General features: G+C 64.1%; 1 protein-coding gene and 1 long non-coding RNA gene across 5 annotated transcripts in view, besides 6 other annotated features; one reads left to right on the forward strand and one right to left on the reverse strand.

Annotated features, from left to right (window-relative positions):
• Nucleotides 36-195: a silencer, noted in NCBI's record as "silent region_110". NCBI's record gives its function as "represses an Ori minimal core promoter by ATAC-STARR-seq in GM12878 lymphoblastoid cells {active_cell/tissue: GM12878}" and the evidence as "EXISTENCE:reporter gene assay evidence [ECO:0000049][PMID:35858748]".
• LOC124903824 (uncharacterized) lies at nt 194-4,467 on the forward strand. Of its 4 annotated transcripts, none has more exons than XR_007065362.1 (4): nt 194-227; nt 1,145-1,197; nt 1,591-2,210; nt 4,189-4,467. It is a non-coding gene; the product is annotated as an uncharacterized LOC124903824 (long non-coding RNA). The 4 variants fall into 4 exon arrangements; XR_007065359.1 differs by lacking the exons at nt 194-227; nt 1,145-1,197 and adding exons at nt 2,438-2,576; nt 2,810-2,928 and having other exon boundaries at nt 1,792-2,210; XR_007065360.1 differs by lacking the exon at nt 194-227 and having other exon boundaries at nt 242-1,197.
• Nucleotides 346-635: a silencer, noted in NCBI's record as "silent region_111". NCBI's record gives its function as "represses an Ori minimal core promoter by ATAC-STARR-seq in GM12878 lymphoblastoid cells {active_cell/tissue: GM12878}" and the evidence as "EXISTENCE:reporter gene assay evidence [ECO:0000049][PMID:35858748]".
• Nucleotides 346-1,260: a biological region, named in NCBI's record as "H3K27ac-H3K4me1 hESC enhancer GRCh37_chr1:2246747-2247500".
• Nucleotides 507-1,260: an enhancer, noted in NCBI's record as "H3K27ac-H3K4me1 hESC enhancer chr1:2246747-2247500 (GRCh37/hg19 assembly coordinates)". NCBI's record gives its function as "activates a minimal SCP1, AML or CMV promoter by ChIP-STARR-seq in naive and primed H9 embryonic stem cells {active_cell/tissue: H9 hESC(naive and primed)}" and the evidence as "EXISTENCE:reporter gene assay evidence [ECO:0000049][PMID:30033119]".
• A 1,984-nt stretch (nt 4,468-6,451) lies between the features above and the next one.
• MORN1 (MORN repeat containing 1) overlaps nt 6,452-18,950 on the reverse strand; it is a 70,302-nt gene continuing 57,803 nt past the window's right edge. Inside the window, exons 13-14 of the mRNA NM_024848.3 lie at nt 9,296-9,342; nt 6,452-6,778 (exon numbers count right to left, since the gene is read on the reverse strand). Coding sequence (NP_079124.1) covers nt 6,582-6,778; nt 9,296-9,342 — 244 coding nt within the window. The 3' untranslated portion in view covers nt 6,452-6,581. The remainder of the gene's footprint in view (nt 6,779-9,295; nt 9,343-18,950) is intronic.
• Nucleotides 7,301-7,908: an enhancer, noted in NCBI's record as "H3K27ac-H3K4me1 hESC enhancer chr1:2253541-2254148 (GRCh37/hg19 assembly coordinates)". NCBI's record gives its function as "activates a minimal SCP1, AML or CMV promoter by ChIP-STARR-seq in naive H9 embryonic stem cells {active_cell/tissue: H9 hESC(naive)}" and the evidence as "EXISTENCE:reporter gene assay evidence [ECO:0000049][PMID:30033119]".
• Nucleotides 7,565-7,770: a silencer, noted in NCBI's record as "fragment chr1:2253805-2254010 (GRCh37/hg19 assembly coordinates)". NCBI's record gives its function as "represses an EF-1alpha promoter that drives an FKBP-Casp9 reporter gene in an ReSE screen in K562 erythroleukemia cells {active_cell/tissue: K562}" and the evidence as "EXISTENCE:reporter gene assay evidence [ECO:0000049][PMID:32094911]".

Here is an 18,950-nt window from a genome sequence, read left to right on the forward strand (position 1 = left end):
TCCCCCCCGCAGCCTCAGTTTCCCCCCCGCCCCCGCCGCCTCTTCCGCTACCCCACCCTCCCTGCCGTCCGGGGCGGCGCCCCCCAGATTCGCGGCCAGCGCTGGATTCCGGCGGGGTGGGGCGGGGGCTTCCGGCCCGGGGGCGGCTGGTCCGAGCAGCAGGCCCGGGCTGGGGGGCGGGACGGGAGGCCCTGGGAGCTTCCTGCAGCGTGGGGGCGGCTCCCGAGGTGGGAATTCCGCCCCCGAACCGGCGGGCTACGTGCGGGGGTCTCAGAGGCTGCGGCTCCTCCCGTCGGTGGGCGCGGCCGCCCCCAGAGGCCGCTGCGGGAAGCAGGGCGGCGGCAGGAAGCGCCCCCCCCGTTCCCCCTTCCCCCCCGTACCCCTCTTCCCCCGCTCGTCCCCCCTTCCCCACCCCAGGCCCCGCGGAGGCGGCGCGCGTTTCACGGGTTTCGCCGCCCGCGGCACGGTGGGGGCGGGGGCGGGGGCGGGGGCGGCGGTGCGACCCCCAGCGGTGGAAGCGGGAACTGCAGCTCGGCCGAGCTCGGGGTTGGGGGGTCCCTGCCAACCCTGCCCTCCCGGAAGGTCCCAGCCTGGCGGGTTCGGGTGCTTTTCTCTCTGGGGCGCGGCCTCCCTGTTCTGCTCAGTTGGGGGTCCGTTCCCGGGAAGAACCACCACACCCCCCATCCCGGCCCGCAGGCCCCAGCCGCCAAGTCGTTGCTGGGGAGGTGGGCGCAGGCCGCCCTCTCTCCGTGAGCCCACTCGCCACAACCCGCAGGGACCTGGGGGACTCGGTGGATCCAACCACAGGAGACCATGAGACACAGGCGGTCTCGCCGAGGCCTGCCGCTTAGAGCTGTCTCTCCTCCTCACGGGCCCCCTGGCTCCCTGCAGGCCTGGCCTCCTATCTCCCTCAGGCCATCAGCCCAGGGACCCCCAGCCCAGGCACCCCACCCATGCTCTGAGCTGTGGGCCTGAAACCCGCCCTCCTAGCAGGGAGCCTGGCTGCGCCCCAGGCCGCTTCTGCTTGGAGCTCCGTGGAAGGAAATGCCCTCAGGTTCCCAGGCACTGAGCCTCCCCTCCCGCTAACCCCATCAGGGGTATAGCAGCCCCGTGGTGCTCAGCCTGCCTCTCTCTGCCTGGGCAGGACCGTGGAGCCCATGCGTGTCCTCTCTCCTGTCCCCAGATGGAAGCCGGCAGGTGGGGCCCTAGCAGGGGACATGCTCGACGTGTGGGTGGATGAGGACCCAGTGGGGTCAGGTCTGGGGCAGCGGGACAGGGTCTCCAGGACGGGGCCTGGCTGCAGATAGGCCGGAGAACGGCTGCTGGTTCCCTGAGGCCACTGGGGAGCCAAGATGCAGTCCCCGAGGGGTTTCCAGGGAGCAGCCACTGGGCTGGGCAGCTGGGCGCAGGGGCAGAGAGAGCTGGGGCTGAGTCCTGGCCTGCCCCCTGGGGACTCCTGGGCTGTAAGGCAGGGGTGGGCAGGGCCTGGACCCTTGTTGGGGGGCCCTCCCTGGCTGTGGTCCACCTCAGGAGCCAAGGAGGCTGGGGGGCTGGTGTGGGCAGCTACCTCTGTTCCCCACGGGTCCTCAGGAAGGCGGCGCCACAGACTGAGGAGGCCCTGCTGGCCCTGGAGCTGTGTTCGGAGCCCCCACAGCCTGGCTCCTGGCTCTGGTTGCCGTGGGCGGGAGGTGGAAGTACAAGGAGAAGGAGTGTCCAGCATTTTCACGAGTGCCACCGCCAGAGGTCAAGCTGAGGACAAGAGGGCAGCCAGGCACCACCCTGGCCCCAGGCAGACTCCCCAGGGCTCGCTGAAGGGCCGGCAGCCCTGGGCCTGGCAGCTCCCCTTGCAAGCCCCAGCTGGGGGCTCTGTCATCCGGGAGGCCCTGGGCCTGACCTTCGCCGGCTGCCCCTGGGCCTGGAGGCAGGACACGAAGGGGCTGATGGGTCTGTGGTCAGCCCCGAGCGCACTTTGCTGAGCTGTGGTCTTGCTGAGCCAGCCCACAGGCCCAGCGACTCCTGGCTTACTCAGCCCAGGCCTGAGGCTCCCAGGGAAGGCCAGGCCAGGCTGTGCAGGAACCTGCCTATGGGGCTGGGCACCTGGCCCTCCAGGAAGGCCTGCCTGCGAGGAGCTGCTCTGCACAGGGGTCTCGACCCTCCGCTAGGCACCAGGAGCGAAGAGGGAGAGGCTTTGGGAAGGAGACACAGGTCAGGTGGGTCCTGTCTGGTTCCCGGCTGTGGCCTGGCTACGCTGTCCTCTGCTAATGCCAAAGGGGCCTGGGCATGGTCTGGAGGGTGTCCTGGCTGAGGCCCTGCTGAAGGGGTGAGGCAGGCATCCCCCCCCATCCCCACCCCGTCTCTCTACCTCTCTGTGTGTCTCTCTCTGACTCTCTCTGTGTCTGCCTCTCTCTGTGTATCTCTGTCTTTCTCTGGCTCACAGACTCCATCTTCCATGGCAGCAACTGGCTTGATGCTCTCTTTCGGTGTCATCTTCGCTTGGTAACCATGGGTGGGAGGAAAGGAGGAATGGCCACTGCTCCCTTGTTTGGAGGTCAAAGGAACAGGAGGGGCACAGGGAGGTAGGAGGGGCACAGGGAGGTGGGCGGAGCTGGGACCTGGAGCTCTCCCCAGGACTCTTCCTGGGGCAGGAGAAGGGGCTGGCTGGGGTTGGGGGCTCCACCTCCAACACACTGTGTTTGTGAGCTTGCCAGAGAGCCGCCACCTGGTCCCTGGCCTCAGGTTCCCAGGGGTGGCACCAGTAGGCCGTGGCCTGCAGGCCAGAGGCAGACACAGCCCCTACCATGCCCACCAGGTCCGGAGGAGCCCAGCAGAGCCCCTGCCCAGCCTGGGAGGAGGCCTCAGCCCAGCTCATGTCCCGCTGTGTTGGCAGTCAGACGGTCACGTGGCATGGCCACCCTGGCCCCAAAGCCGGTGTGTTTCCACCTCCAGCACCAAGAGCTGCCCGCCCTCCCCCTGACACGCAGAGGAGGCCCGGGAAGCCTGGGAGACCATGGCTGCCGTGGGCGGGGCTGGTGGCCGTCACCACTTGCTCCAGGCCTTTGGGACCACATCTGTCCCCGGCCCGCGCCCTCAGCGCAGGGACGCTGCTCGGCGGCAGCAAGTCTGTCCACTCACTGAGGCCCCAGTGCCGGGTGTGAGGCTGCTGCCCGGGAATCAGCGCCCAGTCCCGGACGCAGGCCCAGTGAGCAGGGGCAGGCGAGCCGAGGTCAGCCCACGGGCCCCCATCCTTCCACTTGACCCCGTCCCGGGCTCGGCACTCAGGGACTGGTTCTGGCCTGCGTGGGGCAGGCGATGGGAAAGGATCTTTCACAGGGGGACGGGCACACCCCGGAGTGGGGGCGTGTGCTGGTGGGAGACGCGTGTCGGGGGCTCTGCGTCCTCCTTCCAGGATCTTCCTCCCCACCCCGAGAGAGCAAGGGGTCCTGGGACTCTGCCCAGGAGGTCAGCTGGACCAGACAGACGGGCCAGTCTCTGTGGCCTCCCCAGGGCCATGGGGACTGGCAGACCCAGAAGCCAGGGTGAAGGGACGCGGGAGGCCTTGTGTTCTGTGGCGGGTCCCGAGGACTCTGTCCCCACGGTGGGCTGCCTGAACAGAGTCTGAGGGGAGGGTCACTGTCCCTGGGTGCAGCCTGGCCTGCGGCCGCCTCGCCACTCCTGGTCTCTGGATGCTGCGCCCCGCAGTCCCTCCCTCTCCCGCCCGGCTCCTCACCCCACGTCCAGCCCTCCAGAGTCGTGTCTGTGGCCACAAGGCTGTCTCCACAGAGCCTCTCTCCCGCAGTGGTTTTTTTTTTTTTAAAGAATTCAAATTTCCTGCGTATTTTAACTTTGGGATGTGGTGTGAGGAGTAGGGTGAGTGGGGCCGGGGCGGGAGTCCAGGCGAGGCCCAGGCGCTGCGTCTCTCCAAGGCTGGCTGCCCGTTAGCTCCCAGGCATGCTGGCCAGAGAGGCGCCAGCAGCCCTAGGAAGCCACGGCTCTCTGCTCCCTCCCAGGGTCCCCAGGGCCTGTCCTGGTGGGTGGCGCATGGGGAGAGGAGCATGGCCAGGTAGCCACCTGGCCACCTTCTTGGGCCCTCAGTGGCCCTGGCAGCAAGCACAGGGGACACCGATGCCTGCCCGGGGTTTTGCTGTGATAACCAAGGAAGCTGACGGCCCCGGGCTTCTGTGTTTGCAGAGAGCTTACAGAAAAGTCAGCCTCGATGGACGGCAAGATGCACCTGTCAGCCACGAAGGAGCCCCCCGAGGTGCAGATCCCCACATCCGCCGCACCCGTGTGGAGAAAACAGCGCTGGATTTCCTGTCGTGGGTTTTGTGACTTTGAAAGCCGAGGCTGCTGATTGGGAATTAAATCCCAGAGGACGCCGCTCAACACACTGGAAACCCAGCAGCTGCTGCTGTTCCCAGCAATTTTTCTTTCTCTAAATTGAAACATCATTTTCTATTTTTCTTCTGACACAAATGTGGTTTCATCCTGAAGTGAAAAACAGCTACAGAGCAATTTGCCAAATGTAAGGGGCAGGCCCAGGTGAGCGCCGCTCACACGCAGCGATCAGGGTCAGCGTGACGCGGTGGTATCTGTCCTTCACGGGGGCTCCTCTGTGGGCCCGGCCTGGCCGATGTCTGCCTGGCCTCCTGGGAGGCTGGTGACCCAGGTCGGAGCAGGCCTGGCAGGCCAGGAGCCTCCCCTCCGACGGGCGTAGCCAACCCCAAGGGTAAGGGGCAGTGTCAGAACCGCCAGGCGCTCACGGGGCTCCCAGGGACCAGAGGCTGGAGCCATGGCTGTGATGAAGCCGCCCTGGGCTCTGGGAGCCTCGAGGATGGCCGCAGCTGGGAGACGCAGCCTTGCCACTGGCTCTGGGCTTCTAGAAGGTGTGGGAGAGTGGCTGCCTGCCTTGCTGTCTGGAATGGATGCCTGGGTGTCTGGGGAAGCTTCGGGGATGCCAGAGCCCCCCACATGCACTCGGCCTCCCAGTGGCAGAGCTCAGACCCAGGGGGCCTTGGGGACACTCTGCCCTGGCAGAGGAAGGGTCCCCTCGCTGCAGCTCCAGTGGCCTCCAGCTTGTCACCTCCAAGGATGGGGGACTCGGCACCCCGCGATCCGGCCTGGTTCCTCCCTGCAATGCCCCCCCGCCCGCCCCTCTGCCCCCGGGCAGCAGGCCGCCTTCAGTGCATCCACCACGCTGCGCCCGACCTGGCCCCAACCAGGCTTTCCCTGAGAGCTCCTCAGGGCCCCCCACCGTGGAGCATCCCAGCTTCTGGGTGGATCTTCACCCCATGTGCCCAGGGGCTGCCCCGGGTTCCTGCACTGCTGTGAACGCAGCTCCTCTGTCCACGGCCTCCCTCCGCCGAGCAGGAGCAGCTCCCTGTGCAGGTCTGGAGAGATGCCCCGGCCGCAGCTGGCCTGGGAGATGGGTGTGTTCCCAGGGAAGCGCGCCTGGACAGTGGGAGGGTGGGTCTGGCCGCAACGCAAGGAGGTCGGTGCTAGTTGTGGGAGGGCCGGGGACAGCAGCATGAGGGAAACATCAGGGGGCATGGGTCTGGTGTGGGGCTGGGGCTGGGCCCTGGACGCCCCCTCCCCAGGGCTGCAAACGGTGGTCTTCTGAGAGGGTGGGCTGCAAGGACGGGGGTGGGTCAAGGGAGAGCAAGGAGAGCAAGGGCCTGAGGAGGCTGGTTCCCTGCCCAGCGCTGGGCGGGCAGAGGGTGAGACCAGCCAAGCTGCACAGGCCCCAGGTGGGCAGGGTGAAGCCAGGGGCCAGGGCAGGTGCGGTGGGGCCAGGAGGCAGGGTCTCTGCAGTGGCCGCCTTCTGTGCTGACCGAGTGGCTGGCTGCCCATGGGCCATCTCAGTGCCCCCTCCCCAACAACCTTCTGGCCCCTCTCTGGCTGAGGGGCCCTCCGGAGGCAGCTGTAAAATGTCCCCGACCATCCTCCCTGGTCAATGCGGGGTGGGGGCGTCAGGCAGGCAGGACACCTGGTCAGCAGAGCTGATTGCATGCTTCCTGCCTCTTGTCATGGGAGCCCGTCCTGCGGGCAGGATTGCCTGGAGTGGGTAGTGCCAGGCAGAGGCCAGGAGGTTGGCTGGCCGGGCTTCACTGCAGAGCTCTGCGGCAGGGAGACAGGGACCCTCCTTCCCAGCCCCAGCCTGGCAGGGGAATTCCAGCACCAACCGCGGCTGGGCCTGGGAACAGTGTGGGTGGGACAGACGTGCTGGCCTCGCAGGGTGCCTGGGTGACTGCTACAGGCCTGGTCTTGAGGCACTGAGACGAGCCACCCCATGTGTCCCGCCTGACCCCACAGGCTTCCCAGGGCTCTGCGCAGATCGGGGGCCACAGCAGTGAGCAGGGACGTGGGCTCCAGTCCCGCTGCCTCGCCCATGAGTGTGCGGGTGCATGGGGAGGGCCTTGCTGCTGGCGTGGGGCCCAAGGAGCAGTGCCCTCCATAGCCGCCACTGAGCATTTTATTCAAGCCAGCAACCACGGGGCTCTGGAGAATCGGGGAGCAGAGTCACGCAAGCAGAGGCAGCGTTTCCTTCCATTCACACCGAGGTGGCCTCCTGTGGACACGGGGCCTCACCGAGGCGCTGGCGGCTCTGGGGTGCAGCTGTGGGCGGCCTGCCAGCTGCTTGAGGCTTCAGGGCCTTCTTCCAGGACATGGGGTGGCTGGCCAGCCCTCTTCGCTACGACCCGCAGGTGTTTGAAGGCCGGGGGCAGCCTGCGCCCCAGGAACGGCGGGGTGGTCACGTCGCGGATCATGAGCACGTACTCCCCTGCAAGGGGCGGGTGGGCTGGTCCTCAGCAGGCTCCTGTCCCTTCCCCTCCCTGGCCTCAGCCCACTGCCCACTGTCTCATGTGCCCGCTGGCCCCTGTGCCCCCGACCCTGGTCATCTCTGCCTGGGTTCTGGGATTCTTGGCACTGTAACCACAGGACTGGCCACCGGACCGGTCCTGGGGGGCTGGACACACAGTCAGCATAGGTGAATAAACTAATTTGGGGTAAAGGAAACCACCTCTGACCTCAGGCCACAGCCCAGCTATGGCCTCCAGCTCGGAGGCTGGCAAGGATGGACACGACCCTCGCATGGTGGCCGCTCTCAAGCCCCCACTGCTGACCTGGCTACAGGTCCCTGAAGGATTCTTTTGCAAATACTTTCCTACTTTTTTAGGAGAAAAATAATTCATTCCCTCCATAAACTGTTTTTAAAAATAACGAACCCTCTGAAGGCTGGTGTGTCTGGTTTGCTTTTGAAGCCCCGCCCTGGCCCCTTCCCCACACCCGCGCTGGGGCTCTCCGGGTGGGGCTGGAGGGCGGCCCTGCTGGGGGCACTCGGCAGAGAAGGAAAAGTACTTTTCCTTTCACAGTCTGTAAACTGTCTGGAGAGCTTCAAAGTTGGAGAAACCATAAAAAAGAAAATAAGAAATAACAAAAAGTGAGGTTGCCATAGAAACCATCCTCTCCCCTCCCCTGAGCCTGCCGGGGCTGGCACCGGAGCGTGGAAAAAGCGCCTCGGCTGGCCCGGGCTCACACCAGGAATGCGGCCGCAGCTGAAATGGGGGCAGGAGTCGGCTCACACCGCAAGGCAGAGCAACATTCCAGACGCCGGCCTGGAAAACAGCGCTCCCCTCGCAGAGCGGCGGCCTCCTCGGCCAGGCCACGGGCTCGGCCGCCTGTGCGTTCCCAGGGCTGGACAAGAGCAAGCCTCGGGGGCCGGGAGGAATGTGCTTGGCCCCGAGTCAGCTCCTTTAGAAAAAAAAAAACACGGTTCTGGGGGGCCTCGCCAGGGGGACACACGTTCTGCAACCTGGCGGGTGTGGGCCACAGCACCGGGCACCGGGGACAGCCTCCCTGGCGGGCGGAGGAAGAGCCCCACATGGCAACGCCACAGTGTTTCCAAGCAGCCCGGTTTCTAGGTGTTCCCAGGAATCCAGCTATACCAGTGGTGGCCAAGGCGCTGGCCGGGGGGCCGAGAGCTCAGTGGGCAGTGGCTGAGGAGCCCGGCCACAGGCCCCATCTGACCCCACTCCTGAGGCTGGCGTCCCGGCGGATGGGAAGGGTGGGCGGCAAGGGCTCTGGCTGGTGGCCACCGTGCGGCAGGCCGGGCCTCGACGGCCACGTGATCTAGCCCTGGGCCAGCTCTCACTTAGGGCCTCGGCCATACGTACATGGCTTAGCCCCAAGTGGCCCCTGAATCGGATCTCCCTTCGCTCCTCACCCCCAGGGCTGTCTCCGCCGAGCACATAAACCCTGGCCGAGCGGCTGCGCACAGGTGCCAGCGCCTAGCCGATTCCTGTCACTGCAGAGATGTCCCCGCCCCCTCCTGGGATGGCTGGGACGCGGTGGACCGGTTGATGGTGTGAGGGCTGCTGTGGGACCACGGGGGACACCGCGTGGCACTCCAGCCGCTCCCGTCACCAAGGCCTCACTGGCTACAGCCCCGGCCACACGGGTGCCGTCCCCACGACCAGGGTGGCTCTGCTTGTTCTCCCGCTGCGCCAGAGGCAGCTCCACGGTGGCATCCAGACCCCAGTGAGCAGCGGGTCCAGACCTTCCAGCCTTTGGCTCTCCAGCCAGAACCCCAGAGACACCAGACGAAGGGTCATTCATGTTGGCCCAGGTGACAGAGAGGCTCCATTCTCCGTCAGGCAGCCAGTCAGCCGCGGTGCCCAGGTCCTGCTAGGGGTCCGAGCCTTTGTGTAGCTGAGGTGCCCTGGCATTCGGCCCCTCTGGCTTGGTGGGGGGGTGCCAGGCCCAGGCTGTGGGGCGACTGGAGGAGGCCCCACGGCTGAGGGTCTGCACCTGAGCCTTCTCCAGGCCCTCGCTGCACCCCTCCTTGCTGTCCCCACAGCAGCCCCCACGCTGGGAGGAGCCTTCCGCCCAGCCCAGGCCCACCAAGCCCTGCAGCCGGCCTTGCTGGGGAGCAGCTCCTCATGGTTCAGCCACTGTGGGCCTTGACAGCTCCCCTCGGCTCCCCTTGGACCCCAAGGCCTCCGAGTCCCCGTGCTCCCTGCCCCCGTGGCTTCCTCCTTTCTAGGACATTCCCCACATCAAGGGCTGTGTCGGCCCAGCTTCAAATCTTTCTGGACCGTCCCCAGCCCCCAAGCCACCAGCCCCCTTCCCATTCAGGTCCCTGGGAGGGCCTGGCTGCTCCCCAGTCCCCCACCCACTGCCACCTACCTCTGGGGGCCCCGGGCCGAGTTCCCCCAACCCCACCTCCAGCCCTGGGCTGCGGCCTCGCCTCTCCAGACAGTGGCACAGCCGGCGATGGACTTGGGCCCTGTCCACCTACCTAGGTGTGCTGCCGCAGCCTGCTCCTCCGTGGCTCTCCCCTCAGGCCTGTGGAGACGACACAGTGAGGCCCCTGAATGCCCTGCCTGGGCCCCGACGACATGGCATCCCTGACCTGAACCAGGGCTAGTGGCTCCAGGGCAGATTCAGGGCCCCAGCACAGCAGAGGCCTGCGAACCCCACCTCGGGGCCATGGGCAGGACGGGGAGAGTCCTCTGGCAGCCTGCACCCAGCTCTCTGCACCTCGGAACCGTGGGCTGCCCTGTGCAAATCCTCTTTGTCTAAATTCTTGATGTGCTTATGGCCTTGGAGCAGGAGTGGGACCGACCACCCCATTTCCACAGTCTTCTGACAAGGCGGAGGCCTCCCAGGGTGCAACTGAGAAGATCCCGGAGGGCGGGAAAGACCCTGAGCCCCTGAGAGACGGCGAGGCTGGAGCCTGCAGGGAGCGACTTAGGAGCGGCGGAAGTCTCAGCAAGAGGGACCAGGAGGCCCGGCGGTGGTATGGTGCCCCCTTGGAGGAACAGAGGCCCAGTGTCACCTGGGAGTGCCATGACTGGGAAAGGAGAGGTAGCAGTGAGGATGGGAGGGGCCCAGGGGTCCTGCCGGGGCCTCCCCGTGGAGACACTCACTGCCCTGGCTCCCTGAGGGGTGCAGCTCCTGCCCTGAGGCAGTCTCTGGGGGGGCCCACCACCCACCAGGGTTTCTGAACTGCAACAAGTGATGGGCCTGTTCCTCCTGCCTGGACAGCGCCTCGGGGCACCCACGGGCTGGGGCAGGGCCATGGCCAGGCAGGATCTGGGTCAGGGAAGCAGGTGGGCCCTGAGGACGTGGCCATGGCCCTGGCGGGGAGGAGGCAGTCCCTGCACGTGAGGAAGCTGGGCCCGGCAGGTGCCTCCGATGCTCCTGCTGCAAGGACGAGGGGCTGGCTCTGTGTGGACACCCACCCTCCTCCCCGGGCAGTGAGATGCACTTCGGAAATACATCTTACTTTCTTCTTTCTCTCCCCTTTCCTTCCCTTCCTTCCCTTCCTTCCTTCCCTCCCTCCCTCCCTTCCTTCCCTCCCTTCCTTCCTTTCCTTCCTTCCCTTCCTTCACTTCCTTCTTTTTTTTCTTTCTTCTTTTCTTTCTCTCTTGTTCCTTCTTCCTCTCTCTCTCTCCTCTCTCTCTCTGCCTCTCTTTCTCTCTCTCTCCTCTCTCTCTCTCTCTCTTTTTCTCTCCTTTCTTTCTCTAGATAGAGTCTGGCTCTGTGACCCAGGCTAGAGTGCAGCGGCATAATCACAGCTCACTGCGGCCTCCAACTCCTGGGCTCGAGCAAGCAATCCCCTCGCCTTAGCCTTCCAAGGAGCTGGGACCACAGGAGTGTGGAGTGTGCCACCATGCCCATGGGACCACAGGAGTGTGCCACCATGCCCAGATAATTAAAAAAATTTTTAGAGAGGAGGTCTCACTATGTTGCCCAGGTTGGTCTCAAACTCCTGGGCTCAGGAGAATCCTTCCACCTCCGCCTCCCAAAGTGCTGGGATCACTGCACCTGGCCTTTGTTGATTTTTTTTTTTTTTTTTTTTTTAGCAATAGAGACAGGGTCTCACTCTGTTGCCCAGGCTGGAGTGCTGTGGCCTGATCATGGCTCACTGCAGACTCAACCTCCCAAGTAGCTAAGATTACAGGCACGTGCCATCATGCTCAGCTACTTTTTAAATTTTTTTGTGTGGGGATGGGGTCTCACTATGTTGCCCAGGCTGGTCTCAAACTCCTGGGCTCAAATGATCTTCCCACCTCGGCTTCCTAAAGTGTTGGGATTACTGGCATGAGCCACCGTGCCCAGCTGAGATGTTCTTTCTGTGTGAAGCCCCAGGTGTGCCGGGCTGGGCTGTGTCCGGAATTACCCATCAAATGGGCCTGGGGAGGCCTGCTGGGCTGGCACCCTCCCGCGGCCTCCTCCCGCCGTCCTGCCCGCTGTGGCTGGCCAGTTCCTGTCACTTGTGGCTCAAGGGGGTCAACAGCCCACCCAGAGCTCGGAGAGAGCCAAGGGCTCCTTGACTCTCCAGGTTCCTACCCGTCGACAAACTTAAATCCTACAGGCAGCAACTGGGTGAAAAAGAATGAAAGACAAGACTTTGAAATGACTTCATTTCGAGTGGGGAGAACAGGCTTTGCCGGACCCCAGGACCCACGTAAGACACAGGAGTGCGGGCGAGTTGGGGAAGCGGGGTACATAATTCAGCACCGAGAAGAACTAGTCTGCCAGGCTGCCAGCCTAAGAGAAAGGAGGCAGGATTACAGGAATCCTGAGAGCTTTTACAGAACCCCCAGGGCTTTGAGAGAACGGGCAGAGCCAGCAAGGAGCTCGGGAGTCTCGGCCTAGGGAGGAGGTGGTGCAGATTTGCAGGCATCGGTGCCCCACAGACGGCGAGCAGGCCCGAGGCCAGTGTCCACAGGGACCGCACATGGGGAGGTGGTGCAGGAGCCCTGGGCGGTGGACTGGGGGTGCGTCTGGGCACCCACTGCGTGCCTGGGACTGCACCTTCATGCGGGTGCTGGTCCCTCACTCCTGTCCCTCACGCGCTGGCCATGACGGCCCTGGCACCGGCTGCCCTCTGGAGGCCCCAGTAAGTCCGCACCACCCCGGCGCCATCTCCTGCCAGTTCTGCCTGAGGCAGCAGCTGCCACCACCGCGCAGACACATCCTGCTCCCTCCTGACTTTCGGAGGCCTGGCCTGGCATCGGCCTGGCAGTCTCGGCCTCCCCGTCGGGGTTGGTGTCTGGGGATCAGGGTGAAGACACAGCGACCCGGGCCTCACCCAGGGTCTGTGTGTGGCTGTTCTGCAGCGCTGGACGTCTGAGGCCTGTGTCGTCCCCACAGACGCGCGCTGTGGACACACTGGCGCCCACACAGAGACACAGAAACACACAGAAACACACAGAAAGACAGAAACGAAGACAGAAACACAGAGACACAGAAATACAGAAACACAGAAACAAACACAGAGACACAGAAACACACAGAAACACACAGAAACACAGAAACAAACACAGAAACACAGAGACACAGAAACAGAAACACACAGACAGAAACAAACACAGAGACACAGAGACACAGAAACACACAGAAACACAGAAACAAACACAGAGACACAGAAACACACAGAAACACACAGAAACACAGAAACAAACACAGAGACACAGAAACACACAGAAACACAGAAACAAACACAGAGACACAGAAACACACAGAAACACACAGACAGAAACAAACACAGAAACACAGAGACACAGAAATACAGAAACACACAGAAACACAGAAACAAACACAGAGACACAGAGACACAGAAACACAGCGACGCAGAAACACAGCAACACAAACACAGAAACACAGAAACACACAGAAACAGAAACACAGAAACAAACACAGAGACACAGACACACAGACACAGAGAAACACAGAAACACACAGAAACACTGAAACACAGTGGGCGGTGTCCAGGCTGCAGAGGCTCCATCGCTGTCACCAGGCCCAGAGGCTGTGGACGGCTGCGAGTGGCCCGTGCGGCTTTTAGAAGCACAGACAGGAGATGGGGTGGACGAGGCGGCACAGGGGGAGGGCCACGAGGAGGGGCAGGCGCGGCGGGCAGGCGGCACCACCTCTGCAAGGCTAACAAGGTGCTGCGCCCGGCTCCCTCCTCTTGCCTGTGCCTCTGGCGGTGACCAGAATGGCCCATTGGCCGAATTGGCCGCCCTGACGGGTGAGGGCCGCTTTCCCAAGGCCCCGCATCGCGCCTCGGCGTCCCCGCATGAGCTCCTGGTCTTGGCAACCCCCTTACTGCATCTTCCCAGGCCAGATGCTCCGAGAAGCCAAGAGGCCTCCCGAGGAGCCCGTCACAGGCTTCTGTGTGCAGACAGCAGCGAGCCACCGAGCAGAGCTCCAGGGAGCGGCATCAGAGAGGCCTTGGCCGAGTGCAGGCCGAGCAAGGGACCTCTGGCAGCCTGTGGCCCTTGACCCTGTCTACCCGGACCCACCCCTTCGGGCCTAGGCTCGGCCTTTGCTGTCCTCAGTCTTCCAGTCCATGACGCGGACACGTTCCTCATGCACGGCTTTGGTGTGCCTTGACCTGGGCATGAAGTTAGAGCTGGGCCTGAGGCCAGTTTGCTGCCAGGCCAGGGAGGGCGGTTTGCAGCGGGGCTGTGAGGCCCAGGGGACCCCCTTCCTGCAGCCTGGCCTGGTGTCCGGGCTCCTGGAGAAGGGCGCCCACTGGTGCAGTAAGGGCCATGCCTGGGAGTCAGAGAGTCCAGGCAGATCCTGGTGACAAGGGGCAGGAGGCTTTGCCCAGCTCTGGGGTTCCACGTGGCCTCTAGGGCCACCAGGATGTGCCGGGAGCCAGTGAGGCAAGAGTCAAGGAAGACACAATCAGGAGGAACCTGTCACCTGGAGGTGGCCGGGTGCGGCTTTCAGAGAAGGGCCCAGGCTCCCCTGCCTGCTGTGCAGGAGGCACGCCCTGCGGCTTTCTGCAGCCCCGGGAGCCCCTGTGAAAGTCTGAAAATCAGGGCCCTTGGCCGCAGATCTGGGGCCAGCTTGGAAACTGTTGTCACCTCCTTAGTAACCCCAAGAAATGAGAGCCAGGGGCCAGTGCTTTCTGTAACAGCCCCAGGCACAGACACAGATGGGTGCAGACGCCAGCCCCAGCTCCTCTCCCGGGGAGCACAGCCTGTGTGTCCTGCCCCATGGAACACCCGGAGAATGTGCCGGCACCAGGGAGGCCTCTTGCCTCCTGCCTGGGCCGAGGAACTGGGGGCCACATTGCCAAGGGAACCCGCCCAGGGAGGCCCCTCTGCACCCGCAGGCATCTGCAGCCCAGGGAGATGACGGTGGTTTTGTGACTGCTTTCCCAGGTCGAAGAAGGTCAGAGCTTGGATTCTTGGGCCCAAGCCTTGGGGAGGTGCCCACCGTGGACACCCAGGTGCCCTGTCCCCAGTGGGCGGTCAGCTTCAGGCCTTGAAAAGCCTGAGGGGTGTTCCCTGTTTGGGGGAGCCTGTTCACCTGTGGGCCCTTGCCGGTGTGGGTGTGCGAAGAGTTAACGGCCGCCCTGCCCCAGCCCCTCCGTCTGCTGTGGGGTTATCATTCCACATCCCCGCTGAGCGCTGGGCACGTCTGCAGGCCCAGCTGTTCCCGCCCGGCCCTCACACCTGCTTTGGTTTAGTATCCCTGCTTGGACAAGACAGGGTTCATTTTTCAACCTTTAAAAGTTTCTAAAGAAGAACCCAGTCAATCCCTTTCTCTCGTGGCTGAACTCCCACCTGGAGGCGCTTCCAGCAGTAGGGCCAGGGCACCCGGTGCCCCCAGCTTCCCAGTGCCCTCCCTGCAGCCGATCCCATTGTCCTGGGAGTTCTCATCCCTGGGGGCCCAGCCCCCCGCCTGCGGGACACCAATCCCCCACCCTGGGGCCAGGCCCCATGAAGACCACAGCCAGGTGCAGCCTGAGACCCACTGCCCAGTGGGTCTCCTGGGTGCCTGGGGATGGAGGGGCTGGGCTGAGTGGGGCCTCCTGGCCACGGGGTCAGCAGGTGGCAAGGCCCAGAGAGGAGGCAGAGCCCTTGGGGAGGGTGGGCAGGTGAGCCGAGCAGGCCGGAGTCACCACCGCATCACGTGGGCCCCTTTGGGTCTGTCGAGGGTCTATTTCAGATAGTGTTCCCCAAGGCCCCACTGGGCTGGGCCCCGTGCAGGTACAGCGTGGAGGAGGCACCAGCAAGAATGCTCAGAGATGGCACCAGCCGTGAGCAGGCCAGGCTCAGGCCAAGGGACAGGCTGGGCTGCTGGGCTGACTGTGTTTGTGTGTTTATGGCGGAGACCAGCGTGCCCAGGAGAGGACTAGAGGGAGCTCCGGGTGAGGGGGGAGCTCCGGGTGAGGGGGGACCCTGGCCTGTGCCCATGGGAACTGCCTATTTGCCCATCTTGGGGCCAGGGTGGGAGCAGTTACTGGGCTTCTCTGTGCCTCCTTAATCTGCACCCCTCGGCTGAGCAAGCCAGCGGCACAGGCCTCCCCACCTGGGCTGCGAGTCACAGGCTGCTTTGCTGGCCAGGCCTGCCCCTAACTGGCCACAGCGTGCTGGCCAGGACTCACGCTCAGAGAACGGACACATTGCCACCCTGAGTCCTGTCCCTGTTCAGACCCAGCCAACCCCGATAGGCCCAGTGGGTGGCCAGGCTCTCGCCCCATGTGTCTCCAGGCACCAGTGGTGGCTGCTGGCTCCAAGGCCATTCTCCTGGCTCCTGTCACCTCTTTGTGGCAGACGAGGGAGGAACGGGTCGGTGTCCTTCGTCCTCTGGGCCTGGGACAGGTGAGGAGCCCAGGTGCTGGCTTGTCCCCACCGGTGGCCTTTCAAAGGGGATGAAGGCCTGTGTGGGACACTCTGCGGTCACTGGCGACAGAGCCAGGAAGGGGCTCGGTGGGCTGTGGAGCATCCACGATCTTTTCAAGTAAAAAAAATTAATTGACTCCATCTGTGTTGGCCTAATGACTGATTAAATGACTAATCGCAGAAGTCTTAATTAAGCCCATTTTTCTCGGAGCCGAGGAGGGAGGAGGAGCTTGGATGCCGACAGCCACCACTGAGCAATGACACACAAGGTCGCCGCGCACACCCGTGCCTGTGGTCGGGCTGAGGGACCCCGTCCCGGGCTGATGGGGCTCGGGTGGCCACGTTTTCCTATCATGAAGCATGGAATGAGGATTTCTGGGGCCAGGGCCACCCCCACCGTTCCTGTGGAATTCTCCTGTGTGGCTGGGCAAAGTCATGGCCACGTTGATTAAACCGAGTCCTTCTTCTGCAGCTGACATAATCTCACATCTTTTCAGAACCGACAGGGCTTTGTCCTTTTGTGGAATTCCGTAACACGCCTGGAATGTCTCTGCAGGAACGCAGCCAGAGGCCCTCTCAGAAACGCGGCCCCTCCCAGGGCAGCAGGCGGCGGGCACGTGCGGGGCCCTCATGTCTGGTCTGTGTCTACCGCCCACTACAGGGAGGGCCATCCCGTCCACCCTGTCTCCCCTCCCACAAGCTGGGGTTCAGCCCCAGGTGGACATGGGGCACATGGTGAGGCAGCGACTTGGCAGCCAGATTCAGCGGCTGGCGCAGGAGCCCCTCGTGCAGCCTCCCCAGAGCCACTCGGGACCCCTCTCCTGGTCAGCACCTCTCCCTGTCATCCTGCCAGAGGCAGCACGGGCCAGGGCAGCCTTGGCCCTCCACGCCTGGACTTGGCCCCACGTGGCCACAGGGGTGGGCGGGCTTCTCCCAGGGGCTCCCTGACATCCTTGGACCTGCTGGGGCAGTTGGGGGTGCCCTGGCAGGCGGATGCCGGGCCTCAGCCTCTGGCTGTGTCTGTAGGGCCCTCGCAGCAGGACCCTCCTTTCTGGCCACCCTGCACATGGGTGACCAAGCCCTGGAGGGCTTCGCAGGGTCAGAGCGTGCCTGAGGGGGACCTGGTGGCCTTGGCTGGGCTCTGGGAGGGCAGACATGGCCTCTGTGCCCATGAAACCCGGGCTTCCCTTGGGGCACAGCTTGTGAAGGAACCTTGGCTCCTCTTTCCTCTGCCTATTTTAGGGAACAGTCAAAGACGACTTTGCAGGATCCTGCCTGAGAGTTGTAACAAAGGCGCGCGTTTCTCCCGCATGCGCCGTCCTTCTTATGTAACCACTGCCGCTCCTCTCCCGCGGCTGCGCCTCTCCCGCCGCTGCGCCTCTCCCTCGTGCGGCTCTCCCGCCCCTGCGCCTCTCCCTCGTGCGCCTCTCCCGCCCCTGCGCCTCTCCCTCGTGCGCCTCTCCCGCCCCTGCGCCTCTCCCTCGTGCGCCTCTCCCGCCCCTGCGCCTCTCCCTCGTGCGCCTCTCCCGCCCCTGCGCCTCTCCCGCCGCTGCGCCTCTCCCGCCGCTGCGCCTCTCCCGAAATTACAGGCTGGTGTGTCACTTTTCATCTTTGTCGATTTTTTTTTCAGTCATTTCTATTGTTTGGAGCCTCCTGGATGACAGTGACAGGCTCTGATGTGGGCTTTGAGGGAGCCAACCGGTGGGGGGTGCACCAGGTGACCCCACGCTCACCAGGTGCCCAGCGGGGCTGCCTGTCCTCCTGAGGGCACCGGCGTCCCCCAGTGGATGCTGAGAGGAGCTCCTGTTGTGCAGCTGCACGAAGGGGACACAGATGTGGCTGTTCTGAGGGACAGGGGGCTCCCCTAGAGCCCCGGTCTCAGCACACCCTGGTGAGCATAGCCCGGCCACCCTGACTGTTGCTCACGGACTCCAGCATCGGAAGGAATGCTCCCTGTCCTTGGTCCACACTCAGGTTCTTCCAGTGGGATGGGCGACCCCTGGCCCCGGACTCACTGCTTCTCCCATTGTCCCCCTCGGCAGTTCTGTCTTGACATCGACCCCACGCAGGCCGCTAGGACCTGGGCTTCTATGATGGGGGAATGGGCAGTGCTGTGAGGGGCACGGCAGACCTCCGGCACAGGCCCAGGTTGGGGGCCAGGAGGGCGCGACGTGGCGTCTGGACATGGAAGGGGTCACACTCCCGTCTCACTTGGTCTCCTGTTGTCCACACTGCAGAATCTCGTCTGTGCCTCGAGATTTGGAGCAGCCAGGAGAACCCTTTGTTAGCTCCTGTTGGGATCCTGGGAGGGGTGAAAACCTCCATGAGTGAGTGAGGCTTTGGGGCTTGTGCGGAGACGAGGGGAGAAGCCGGAGCCAGGACCCCAGGGTCTCAGAGGGGCCCCCAGGCTGCGCCTCGAGGGGCCAAGCTCTGTCGGGGACTGGGGCTCGGGCTGGGGCTCCGTGACCTCCATGGGGTGCAGCCCACCAGGCTGCCTACGAGGATGCCTCCGAGCCTTCACCCAACTGACCTCTGGCCAACCCCCACGGGTCCCCCAAGGGGCTTGCTCTGGAACTGGAGAGTGGGACTATAAAAACACGGAACCCAGGAAGCTGGCATCGTTGGGGTCCTTAGGAAGGATAAAAAGGCGACCAGGTGTTGGGGGGCGTGACTGGGGGTGGCCAGAATGTTCCAGGCAGGAAGTGCAGTGAGCATCGGGCTCCCGCCTGGAGATGCTCCTGGTGCGTAATTATGCCAGCCAGTGGGCACGTCTAGCAGGGCCTGGGCTGGCCCCGCTGCAACAGGCCGGGGACAGGCCCCACATCCTCTGTGCCCAGCAGTGGGGATGCCAGCTGGGACCCAGCAGCCGGGTCAGCCCCGGGCCCAGCTCCCGAAGCCTCCTCCCCATTATGGAAAGGGGGTCCCCAGCGATGGCAACTGGGGACAGCTGGTGAGTGAGTGACAGCTGAGTGCAGTGAGTGGCCTCGGGCCTGGAGACGCTGGAACAATACAGGACCGTGCCAGGGTAGGGGCCATGGCTCCTGCAGAACAAAGTTGTCAGTCACAGGGCCACACTGTAGGGGGACCCGAGGGAGGTCTCGGACCTCAGGGGTCTCCTGGGACTCCAGGGTGCTAGCGGCAGGATCCTGGCTCAAGGTGCTGCTGCTGAGGCTGGAGCCTGAGGGTGCGCTGAGAGCCGGCCCTTGCCCCTGCCCTTCTCCACCCCATTCACAAGCATGTCTGTCGGAAGCGGCAGCCCCAACGGTGCCAGGAGCTTCCACTCCTTTGGCCCTGCCTGCC

This window comes from Homo sapiens, chromosome 1 (genome assembly GCF_000001405.40).
Source record: "Homo sapiens chromosome 1, GRCh38.p14 Primary Assembly".
NCBI lineage: Eukaryota > Metazoa > Chordata > Mammalia > Primates > Hominidae > Homo > Homo sapiens.